This window comes from Homo sapiens, chromosome X, assembly GCF_000001405.40.
Source record: "Homo sapiens chromosome X, GRCh38.p14 Primary Assembly".
In the NCBI taxonomy this organism is placed as follows: domain Eukaryota; kingdom Metazoa; phylum Chordata; class Mammalia; order Primates; family Hominidae; genus Homo; species Homo sapiens.
The window spans coordinates 110214308-110227396 of record NC_000023.11 but is presented as its reverse complement, the minus strand read 5'-3'; the positions used below and the strand labels follow the sequence as shown (position 1 = coordinate 110227396).

General features: G+C 35.4%; 1 protein-coding gene and 1 non-coding gene across 4 annotated transcripts in view; both read left to right on the top strand.

The window, feature by feature from the left end:
* AMMECR1 (AMMECR nuclear protein 1) overlaps positions 1 to 13089 on the top strand; it is a 246048-nt gene that overhangs the window by 212837 nt on the left and 20122 nt on the right. For all 3 annotated transcript variants that reach the window (NM_001171689.2, NM_001025580.2, NM_015365.3), the window contains one exon: positions 10765 to 10879. In NM_001171689.2, the coding sequence (NP_001165160.1) occupies positions 10765 to 10879 (115 nt within the window). The remainder of the gene's footprint in view (positions 1 to 10764; positions 10880 to 13089) is intronic.
* SNORD96B (small nucleolar RNA, C/D box 96B) lies at positions 2337 to 2408 on the top strand. The gene has a single exon (NR_004379.1). It is a non-coding gene; the product is annotated as a small nucleolar RNA, C/D box 96B (small nucleolar RNA).

The following is a 13089-nucleotide window of genomic DNA, read 5'->3' as shown; positions in this document are numbered from 1 at the left end:
TCCCCGATCAGTGACATATGCAGAAAATTATAAACAGGCCGCATGATAGGAACCAGTATCCTGCCTCTCAGCAGACTTGTATCATCTAGGACTGGCAGTAGTTTTAGAAAGGACAGCTGAACCAGCCTGACATGACACATAAGTTAGAGTGACAACACATGTTTTGCAGTTTATAGAGTTCAATTAATAGATTTGATTGCCATGGAAAGAGGGAAGGAAAAGAATTGCATGACTCGTGTACTGAGTATGAGAGAGCTTATTCATACAGGTTGGAAAAGCAAAATTAAAAAATCAGAAACAGGCCCACCAGCCTAGATATGTCCAAAACTAGTACTTTGGTAACCTATTATGACTTCCAGCAGATTAAGTTTCAAACTGTGGAAAGGGCTTCGGAATAAGGGAAGGCTTAGCATCCCACTAATAAGGCTTATTAAGTTTAGATAAAACAGATGTTTTTCAATGGTAGCAGCTCTGAGTCACCAAGATCAAAATGGAGAAAGAAGAGAACAAAAACAAGCTAACACTTTCATTAAAAAGGTACTATTTTTCTTAGGCATTTTCAGAACCTGCTCACATTTATACTTAATACTTTCAGTTAAATCCTATGAACGGAAGCATTAATTGGGGAAAAATTCCTTAATACTGATTAAATGTATATACATTTATGTTGATTTGCTGACATTCTGAAAGTGGTACTATGAAAAGAGAATGGGATTTAGAGGCAGGCGGTCCTAATTTCATATGTCAGCTCTCTTACCTGTTTTTGTTTCTTTGTTTTTGTTTTTGTTTTGAGATGGAGTCTCACTTTGTTGCCTGGGCTGGAGTGCAGTGGCGCAATCTCAACTCACTGCAACCTCCACCTCCTGGGTTCAAGTGATTCTCCTACCTCAGCCTCCTGAGTAGCTGGGATTACAGGCATCCACCACCATGCCCGGCTAATTTTTTTTGTATTTTTAGTAGAGATGGGGTTTTACCATGTTGGTCAGGCTGGTCTTGAACTCCTGACCTCGTGATCCGCCTGCCTTGGCCTCCCAAAGTGCTGGGATTACAGGCATGAGCCACTGCGCCCGACCAGCTCTCTTACCTGTTTTTAGAACCATTGGCAAGTTACTTAATCTCACTGATCATCACTGAACCTCAGCTTCTTCCTCTACAAAATGGAGTTGTTTTGAGGACTAAACAACTTAATGCATGTATAGTACCTTACTCACAGTAGGTACTTAGCAGATATTGGCTTTCTGAGATTTTAAGCTGCTTTTGCTCATAGTGCCATGTCTAAATATCTTAGGACCAGTCTTCTAGAGCTTGATGAGGAGCTTTAGGCCATCCAAAGAGGGATGCACCTGAAGGATTCATTGTGGGGTGAGATAAAAATATTAGAAAGTCTATTTATATCATTTTAGATAAAATATAAGAAAGTATTTAAACTCCACTAATGTTTAACATGTGGATTGACCCTGATGCTCTCCTTTGGTCCATGTTGGAGAGTCACTGTCATATACTCTAAATGAGGGATCCCGAGAAAAGTGTGAGATTTCTTGATTTGGTGAGAGTTCATGGTGGCATGCACATTCTTTTGCTCACTTTAGGCATATTGTAACATATTTCAGTTTACATGTACCTAGTTAAGTAGATTTCTAGTTCTTAGTACAGGTTGAGCATCCCAAATCCAGAAATCTGAATTGCTCCAAAATCCAAAACTTTTGAGTACCAATGTAACGCTTAAAGGAAATACTTCAGATCTCAGAATTTTGGATTTGGGATGTTCAACCAGTATAATGCAGATATTCCCAAATCACAAAAAAATCCCAAGTTTGAAACACTTCTAGACTCCAGCATTTTGAATAAGGGATATTCCAACCTATATAATCTTCATCCTGTGGTTTCTTTGCAGGAATCTTCTTAAGCTGTTTGACTATTGTGTGTAGGTCAGTTAAAGCTAGATAAACTAACCCACGCAGAATGGACAAGTGGCTTAGGAAGATTCCTGCAAGGAAAAAAATGGGCTGATGATAACAGTGATAATGCAAGGGCAAGAAAATGGTGAACTAGCTGACACTTCTATGAGTTTCCTCTTAATTTAGCCAAGTCATGAAGTGAAAACAAAAATAATCTAATCAAATCTGACAAGATGTCAGCCCCAAAACAAGAAAGGATCAAGAGCATTATTTAATTTATACTCACTGTCTTTAATAACAAAGCCTACTCTAAGTATCATGCTTTGATATATTAGCCTGTCATAGTAGTACAAGTATATACTTTATAAATATACATATTGAGGATGTGTGCTCAAACTTTTTTTAGTGATAAGAATACTCAATCAAAACTGTTTGGATCCTGGTGATGACAGACGACATTGTCAGCCAATCCCCATGTGGTAGTGAGGACATGTCCTGCAGTTCTGAAGGGATTCTATGGATTTTTTTTAATTTAAAAAACGAAAAACTAATTTTAAAAAAAAACAGCTTGGAGACTGCTATTTTAAATGAGGAAAGCAGTTGCTGCCTATGGAATCTCTCATCTCTCATTCTGTATCTGCTGCTTAGAAATCATTTTTCTTGTTTTTGTTTTGTTTTGTTTTGTTTTTTACCTAAGGATTTTGCTATAGTATGAATAGTAGGATAGAGAGTAATATATCTAAATCCATCAAACATGATTTAGGGAACTTTATTTCTGATAAACATTTCTTCTACAGAAGTAAAAGAACAATTCCTGCCCAAAAGATTTAAAAACTGTAGTTCAAGAAAACTAAGAAACTGTTTCAAAGCAGCATATGAATCCCTGCCTGCAGTATAATGGAAACTCTTGATGAAGATGTACCTTACTTGATGTAGATTTGTTTCTGAAAAATATATATATATCTTTTTTTTATTTCTGTAAAACTCCCTGTAACTCTGAGTCAGTTGGTAACCAGTAAACCAGTAGCATATTGTAAAACAGATCTTTTCAAAAAGAGCGCTAACCTGCTCTGATTATTCCTCTCAGCAGTCCTATAGCATGATTTTAACACGTATTTTATACATATCCATATATTATTTAGTAATCTATTCTTATATTCTCCATGGCTCTTTGCATAATAAAAAGCAAATAGTGGGTGTTTAATACTTATTTTGAAAATGAAAGAAAATGAAATGAAAACACCAGAACCTGGAAAGGTAGTCATTATCCCCCGAGATGGCCACATTTAATTCCTAGAGAAGATAACTTGTTTAGTTCTTCCCACAGCACAGCTTAGTCCTGTGGCTCCCTTTCTTTCACCAGAGCCATAATATGGGGCAGCCCTGTGGACAGACGGATGATCAATCAGAGTTCTTTGACAGCCACTACTTATTGAGTAGGTTAGTAAAGGCACTTGTGCAGTTATTATTATTTTATTTGTTACAGTTGCTCCATTAGGTGGGTACTGTTATGATCTCCATTTCATAAATGAGGAAATGAAGGCTGGCATAGATTAAGAGACTTGCCCAAATGTCACACAACTAATGTATAGTGGAGCCAGGATCCAAATGCAAGTATATCTGACTCCAGAACCCAAGCTGTTGGCCATTGTAATATGTTATGTTCTAGAGAACTGTGAAATAGTGCTCATTAATTAACGATTACTTCAATTTTGCATTTTAGGAGCTATATTTATTGGCATAAGTCACAGAGAACTGTTGTTATACCTTGGAGACACACTTTTGATGGGTCTGGGGAAGTAATACTAATTTGGGATTGTAGACCAGGTTTCTAAATTCCAATTCAGTTCAAGAGGTGGTTCATTCAGTTTTATAGTATATCCTAACTTAAGAGAACACACGGATGAGATCCCTGGAAATTTTGCCAGTCTGTGTGTTACACAGTCTCTTGAAGGTAGAGACAATCTCATATCTTCACATTTCCAAGCTTATAATTGTCAGTGGTCATATCGTAATCTTTTCCAAACCCACACATTTTTTTCTTGCCAAGGCCTCGAGAGCACTGTTGTTATGGTGTACAGTAACAAATGACCCAGTTATATTGAGTTTTAAAGATGAACCAGATTCATAAAGAGAAAATTAAATTATATTCATTTTACTTTGGCAGATTTTCATCAGAAAAACATAATTTAAACAAAAATAGTTTCTAGTAGTTCATTTCTAAAAACAAGATAGAGTAAATCTAGAAACTCTGCAGAGAAAGCATTATGTAGACATTTTGTAGAGGGAAATAAGAAATACTTTCTGTATATACAAACATTTAGCCATCTGTTTCTTTATGTATCTTTTATTTTCCAGTTTTAGCTCTGCTCCACTAAATCAAATTCAGACCCAATTCTCTTAATTTAGAGGGGAGGAATTTGTGGCCTAGGAGGCAGATTCTGATGATACTTGCTGGTCCTCACAGCTGGCAGCTCACAGGGAATTTTCCCTTCCTGGTGGGCAGCTATGGCTATCTCATAGAGAGTAGAGGCTTTTAAGAATGCAAGATCAGAGCATTTCAGGAACTTTAATCAGAGGGCAGTAAGTGATAACACTCTAAAGCCTAAGTGAATCTCATAGGATAGAAGCCCGATAATATATATCAAAACCTACTGAACCTGTTATCCTTTATCTCCCTCTCCTCTCTCTTACTTTTCCATTCTCCCTTTCTTGCTTTCTCCTTGTTTCTTTGCATATGTCTCTATTTGAGCCCTTTCTAAGTGTCCCCCTTTTTTGTACTTTCTTTGACTCCTACTTCTTTTTTCAGCTTCTTGCTTTTCTCTTCCTTTCTCTTTTTACATATTCCTTTTTCCTTTTTCTTTCTTTTTTTTTTTTCCAGAATTGGATAATATGGTTTTTTTTTTTAATTTAAGTTTTAGGGTACATGTGCACATTGTGCAGGTTAGTTACATATGTATACATGTGCCATGCTGGTGCACTGCACCCACTAACTCGTCATCTAGCATTAGGTATATCTCCCAGTGCTATCCCTCCCCCCTCCCCCGACCCCACAACAGTCCCCAGAGTGTGATATTCCCCTTCCTGTGTCCATGTGATCTCATTGTTCAATTCCCACCTATGAGTGAGAATATGTGGTGTTTGGTTTTTTGTTCTTGCGATAGTTTACTGAGAATGATGTTTTCCAATTTCATCCATGTCCCTACAAAGGACATGAACTCATCATTTTTTATGGCTGCATAGTATTCCATGGTGTATATGTGCCACATTTTCTTAATCCAGTCTATCATTGTTGGACATTTGGGTTGGTTCCAAGTCTTTGCTATTGTGAATAATGCCGCAATAAACATACGTGTGCATGTGTCTTTATAGCAGCATGATTTATAGTCCTTTGGGTATATACCCAGTAATGGGATGGCTGGGTCAAATGGTATTTCCAGTTCTAGATCCCCGAGGAATCGCCACACCGACTTCCACAATGGTTGAACTAGTTTACAGTCCCACCAACAGTGTAAAAGGGTTCCTATTTCTCCACATCCTCTCCAGCACCTGTTGTTTCCTGACTTTTTAATGATTGCCATTCTAACTGGTGTGAGATGGTATCTCATTGTGGTTTTGATTTGCATTTCTCTGATGGCCAGTGATGATGAGCATTTTTTCATGTTTTTTGGCTGCATAAATGTCTTCTTTTGAGAAGTGTCTGTTCATATCCTTTGCCCACTTTTTGATGGGGTTGTTTTTTTCTTTCTTTCTCTCCTATCTTCTCTTCCTTTTGTTCCATCCCTTAGTTCTTTCCTCTATTCCCCATGAATTACCCATCATATCATATTAAGCATATATATTAAAATTAATAAATGTTAATGGTCATTGAGCAGCAAGAAGGTTTTATTATTACTGTAAAAGGAAAAACATCTCCCAGTTAAGTAACACTGTACATATAGCTTACAATTGAAACTTTTCTTTTGAGTAACAGCCCTCACCAAAATAAGGCACCTTTCCTCCTTCCTTAACCATAATTGTGTCTTTTGTTCTTCCTCTCTACCCTTAGGTTTGATGAATAGGCACATTTTTACATTTTGTTTTGTGTCCATTACTTCGTGAATTTTAGAAAGCTAAAATTGCTACTTAGTGAGACAGAGCGGTAGATAATTTTTCAGATGTGGGTTTAGGATTCTAGTATTCTGAGTTTCTGGGGTTCAAACATGCCATGTATGCATTCTATTCCAGAAGCTCTAGCAGGGAATGACAGAATATGGAATTTCCTGGTGGTTGAAACCCCTCATGAAAAAACTGCTTTTAGTTTTAGACTAAAACATAGTTGAATTGCTTCTCTTTGCCTGTCCAAACAGGGATTTTTAATTTGGGTTTTAATTACTTCCTTGTCCTGAATAATAGTTATATGTAATATGAAGCCCCTCTCAGTTTGATAACTTTCCAGCAGTTAACCGATTAAGGTCAACAATATTTTAGAAAGTGAATGAACAAGTGAGCAAATGACTAGACAGAGTCCCTTAAATTATTTCTGTTACATGCTCTATCGTTTACGATGAGCCTTGTAATATCTAAGGTTTTGCCTCTTTTCAGCGACTTTTTTTTCTTTTTAGCATAGTTTCCAGGCACTGTCACAAACTCTTTGGTTCTTTCATAGCTAAACTCTTAATATCTTTTCTTAAAATGTTCATTTTTATTAAAGTACTATATAACATTATATATTAACTTTGACAAATGTTAACGTTCCTTCTCAATTAGGTGAGGTGTATTCTTGAGAAGGTGCCAATTTGAATTGAATATATTTGAATTTGATATGTGAACTAAACTGTAATTGTTTAAAGCTTACCCATCCATCATATGGGTGATGGAGCAGCTGACTGATTTTACATGTAAGTGTTTTGTTTTGTTTTTCTAGCAATATTTAAACATTAGAAAATGATTTCCTATTCTAACAAAGAGAAATTCATATGAATTTACTTACAGGACCCCCTTGTCAGTTCCTTAGACTGCCTAGAATTTAAATTGGCAGATACTACTTTGGTATAAAATGCTTTCTATGGACAGTATTAATATTTTAAAATGTTTTACTCCTGCAGATTTCCAGTAGACAGGAAGTCTAGCTCTGTTTACCCTTTGGCTACTAATGAGTGCTGCTGAATGATTATTTATCATCTTTAGGTAGAGGTACCACAGGTATGAGATCAGAATTGCCAAGTAAGGCAAGCATTTAATTTTAAAATTTGAAAACAAATCCATGCAAAGGTGACAACTAAAGTATAGATACTCGAAAGAATTTTGGACTTGAGTCAGAAAATCTCAGTTGTATCCCTACCCTTGTCATTAACTTAGCTGAGTCACCTTGAGTAAGTCACTGCCCAACTCCAGATTACAGTATTCTCTCTAAAAGCACAATTTCAACATTGCATATTCTAAAGAGAGCTTGGTTAAGGAAAGCTTGGTTGAGGAAAGCTGAATCTTGTTGTTTATCAGCTATCCACACCAGCCTGGCAGCTCTGAGGTCAGTCTCCAGCTGTATTTTCATCTTTTTGTAATCTCTTAAATCCTTGCAGGCTTTCATTGCTAGTTCATTTCCCTAGAAATTTACATTTAGAGACATTGAGGACTTCCTACCTTTGTAATTTTTCTGTGTTCATGAATTTAATGAAAAATTACTTAGAGCTGGCTAAAAAATGCAAGAATCAAAAGTCTTGTTTAAATGTCTCTGTAAAATCAGACTATTCCCATCATGACTAACAACCTTTACTATTTCAGAGTTTTGAAATCAGTATGTTTGAATCTTGACATGGTGAGGCACCATTGTCATTTTATCCCATTCATTGTTCTAGCATTTTCCTACTAACTCCTTGTTCTAAACATTCTTCTTTTTTTTTAAGCCTAGAATGAGTGAACAAACAACAAGGCTCCATGTCATGAGAAAAGCACTGTAGCCTGATCTTCACTTATGTTTTAGGTATTTGAAAATTACATTGATTTCAAATAGTTTGAACTGCATTGAGCTAAAACTTATCTTTTATTGGTCTGCTAGGAAATGAACTAAACAAAATAACTTGCCTCAAAGTATTGAGAAATTAACTGTATAGCGACTTCAGCATGTGTATTTTTAAAATGAAAAAGCTAGAGCTAGGTACAAAATGTGCTTCATTAAAGGAGGTCTAGCACTATATTCAAAAGGTCAAACAACAACAAATATTGGTGTGGATGTGGAGAAACTGGAACTCATACATTGCTGCTGGGAAAGTAGAATCGTGCAGCCATTGTGAGAAATAGTTCATTGGTTCCTCAAAAAGTTAAAGGTAGAATTACCTTTATGATCCAGCAGTTCCACTCCTAGCTATCTATCCAAGAGAAATGAAAACATACATCCACATTAAAACTTATACATCAATTCCCTAGCAGCACTATTTATAATAGCCAAAAAGTGGGAACAGCCCAAATGTCCATCAACCAATGAATAGGTAACAAAATTTGGTGTATCCATACAATGAAATATTATTAGGCAATGAAAAGAATGAAGTACTGATACATGCTACAACATGGATGAAATCTCAAAAATATGCTAAGTGAAAGAAGCCAGACGCTAAAGGCAATATATTGTATGATTTCATTTATACAGAATGTCCAGAATAGGCAAATCCATAGAAACAAAGTAGATTAATGGTTTCCAGGAGCTGGGAGTGGTGCCAATATGCAGTGACTGCTATTGGGTACGTAGTTTCTTTTAAGGATGATGAAAATGTTCTAATATTGCATAATGGTGATGGTTGCACAACTGTGAATATACTAAAAGCCATTGAATTATATACTTTAAAAGGGTGAATTTTGTGGTATGTGAATTATATCTCAATAAAAGTGTTATGGATTAAAAACATTAGTGACTGTATTACTATAACTATTTGAAATTATAAAAGTATATTTAAATTACATTTTATGCCAGGACTAGGGGCGGGGGGGAATGGGGAGTTAGTATTTAATGGGTGCAGAGTTTCAGTTTGGAAAGATGAAAAAGTTCTGGAGATGGAAGATAGTGATAGATACCCAACAAATATATTTAATTTTACAGAACTATATACTTAACAATGGCTAAAATAGTAATTTTATGTTATGTATATTTTACCACAGTAAAAAAATCCATAACCCCCTAAGATTATATTTTATATTATTCTAATGAATGATGTGTCTTTTACTCTTTTTCTTCTTTTAACAGTAAAACTGAAAATGTGATTGGCCTTTTGTTTTTTATGCATATAATTCTTCTGGTCTGTATTTTAGAACTTCTTTCCTGTGTGGCGTTGGGGGATGCGGGTGGTTACACACACACGTCTTTATCTTGGCTTTGAATGAGAACTTGGAAGTATTTTTTAAAACTTTTATTTGTCAGTAGGAAAATAAAAGAAGCCAAACCATAGGAAATTTACGTAATTAAATTATAAAATAGTGAAATGCTGTTCTCAGAGTATGAATTATCACAGATTTCCTGATTTTCTTGGTTAATCTTGGCATCTTGAATGGGAAAAACATATATACTTTTATACATATATAACATCTCTGTATCTTCCTATAAGCATTTTCCTTTGTATAGCAGGATAAAATGAGCACCAAAATGTGGTGCAAATATAAAAACGCAGTGGATGAGCTTCAAAATGCAAACAAAGGGATGGGAAAATGAAAAAAAGAAAATTCAGCAGTGAGAAAGTCACTGAAAAAGGAATTAAATTCTTTCCAAGTCTATGGAACTATGTTATGACCCAAGCAGTTTGTAGAGTCTGAGTTTGTAACCTCTGAGGATAAATCCATGAAAATATTTCTAAGCCTGGCTACTATCTAGGACATTTGAAGATGGATGTTATGAATACCAGTAGTGCCATTAATATAGTAGGCAATCAGAGGTATGTTTGTTTTTCTTAATCAGGAAGTGGTTTCTTTTAAAAGTATAAGGAACACACACTGTGTGTGTGTGTGTGTGTGTGTGTGTGTGTGTGTGTGTATTTTCTATTCCGTTGCAGGAAGAATTATGGTTTTTCCACATTTTACAGTGGGGTTTTCTAGAGTTTGGCACTATGATATCCTACACTTGATTACAGGATCCAATCAGAGTTGATGTACTCAGAAATTCATTGACATGATTAATGGTCTCCTAATCATACTTTTATTTCCTAGATTAGCCCTATTTCCTGTAGTTTCACAATTTTTGAGTCATATGTTAAATTATCCTTTATTGGGGGCCTGAAATTCTTATGAGTATTTTTAGTCTATAATTTGCATGATTATTTCTTTTCTTTGTTTTTTTTTTAATTGAAGAAAATGAAATTTTGATCTTCCTTTGAATTCTTTGAGTGCTGTTCTATGGTGACTGGCCTTCCTAGTATAATCTTTTTTAAAACAATATTGTATATATGTGTATGTTTGTATACATATATATGTATACATACACACACACATATACACACACATATATATATAATTTTACTGCCACCAGCACTAGATCCAGAAATCTTCCTACAAGTTTCCACTAGTCTAGTTTTTATTCTTCTCAAAAGCAAAATAAAACATTCTTAGATTCTACAAGTAGCAGGGAAAGACATCAGGAAATGGCTGTACAGGAAATGTAATTGATGATTCTCTCTTTACAATTGAAGTGGTCACAAGATTGGCTAGCAAACACAATCTATTAAATGAAAAAAAAGGTGACTTCTAAAATCTTTGGGGAATTTGAATACATTTGAAGCTTGTTGGTACCTTTGACATCTTACTGATTCTTTTTGAAACTCTTACCTTTTTCAAACAATTGTTTGCATTTGAAATTGGGAACTTTCATATCCAGTGATTGCTTTAATATTTGCTTTGTTTTTAACAGTGCCCTTAAAGATAGCCGTTTTCCCCCAATGACAAGGGATGAGCTGCCACGGCTTTTCTGCTCAGTGTCTCTGCTCACTAACTTTGAAGATGTCTGTGATTATTTGGACTGGGAGGTAAGATTATAGAAAAATTTTTAAAGAAAAATGAAGGTAACTCTTGAGGAGATGTTAAAAATTAGGCCCAGAAAATAACTCTTTCAGCCCATTCTCTATTGTAATGGAGGTCGAGAGTAATATGGATGAATAAACCTCACAACTGAACGAGATATAAGTAAATGAGTTTTTTAAAGGACAAAGTGCCACGTGTTGTTATAATCCCCAAACTGAATTTGGTTTTCATTTTTCTCCTACTACCTCACCAAAGCACCTCATAAAAGCTGTTAATAAGTAATAAGAAGGACTGACTGGAATTTATTTCTCCTCTTACTTTCATTCTGGTGCACTCTGGTATAACCGCCACTAAGTAACTAGTTGGTCAGAGGATACATCTCAGAAACAAGAAGAAATATTTAGGATAATACACCATTTGGGGGAATCAGCTTGTGATAACAACAAGGTATTGATTAACTAGAGTTAAATAATGTGAATTCATTCTTGGCTACCTTAGTTTATACACTTAAACACTCTAACAAATAATACTAAGGTTATTTCTAGGGTATCTCTGTGCATTGCTATTGTTAGAGTAGCTTATATTGATCATATTTTTATTCTTCTTTAGTACATGGGGTTGGCTAACATTGTTAGTGAAGTTCAAAGGTTCTCACCATGATTTGCTTTGGTGGCTGGGAGGAGATGTTGAGTGTAGGTCTATTGGGTCTATGAAATTTTACACACAAGCATGCCCATATTACTGAATGCCTGTTTTATTCCAGGCAATGTGCTCCATGTATAAAAGTGGTAAGATTTGGTTCCCACCATGAAGCATGTCATAATTTAGTGGCGAGTAAATGTGTATAGAAAGTATGAAGAAATAAGTGCTATGAGAATGAAACAATGGGAACTCAGTGATAAACATAACATTCTCTCTCACACATACACTCATAAATGGCATTATTGTATCCTTATGACAGATTTTAATTCTTCTGCTGTTTTAGAAGGACCATCCCCCATAGTAACTGAACTATTCTGCCTTGGAGACAGATCACTGTCTTCACAGTTTATTAGACTTGAATTTAATTTTGGCTTTGCCCTGATTCCTTGTGAGACTTTGAACAATTTACTTACTCCACTGCAATTCAGTTTTCCAATATACAGAATAAGACATTTATAAGGTTCTTCATTTGAAAAAAAACTCTATGATATAAATTATTGTTGTTATACCAGAGCTATTTAAAAAGTTTTAGGGGGTGGGGTGAAAAAAAACTTTTCTACAGAGAGTACAATGCTAGAGTCCCCTCTGGGTTTTGTGCTAAGATTTTCTGGAGCATTATCAGAATATGAACACATCTTAGGATTTTTGCAAAGGAAGAAATAAAATAAATTTATACTGTTGTTCCTACCAAAGTTGGAATGTAGAAAACCTTTTGTAAACTTGAAATTTCTGATTTATTATTTGCTATAAGTTTGTTGTTCTTACTTGATTTTTCTTAAAGAAAAGTCTACAAATATTATGGAAATATTCCTTAGTACTTTATTTTTAAACAGCCCCAAATCATGTTCCCTACTTATTAACATATATTATAGTCTGGGTGGTTCTTTTACTGTTTTAAGGCTGCTGTTTCCTCTTCCGCAGCCAGATTTACTTTTGCTTTCTGGATTGCAGGGTGTTGTGTATGTAGTAGTGGGGATGGGAGTGATTATATGGGAAAAGCCTGAGATCCAAGGGGGATGACCAAGCTACAAGAACACTTCTACTCTTGCAGCTACTGAGTTGGAAGTACAGTTCTGGCATGTGTGTTTCTGTGTGTGTGCATGTGTGTGTGTCACAAACATGAACATACTAGTATTACATAAATGTGTGTGCATGTGTTTTGGGGGAAGGAAAAAGGGGAGAATACAACAGCTGTTACATAGGCATGGTTAAGCACCGAGTACATCATCATCATCTTTAGCCCAGTTAAAGCACTATCTACAGCTAAAATTAACCTTGATATTATTGGACTATTATGTCCAAAAGATACATCAGCTTTCTGTTTGTTAGGAGAGTGGGATGTAAAGCCCTTAAGAAGTAGTACTGTGTACTCCACTATATACTCTTTCAAGGCATATTTATCCTCTTTGGTCACCATCTGCCAGCCTGAATTTCCAGAAGATTCTATATTGTTCCTACTTGGTATTGTGTATTTAATATATTTTAGGGGGCTTAAATATTAATTTCTATTAAG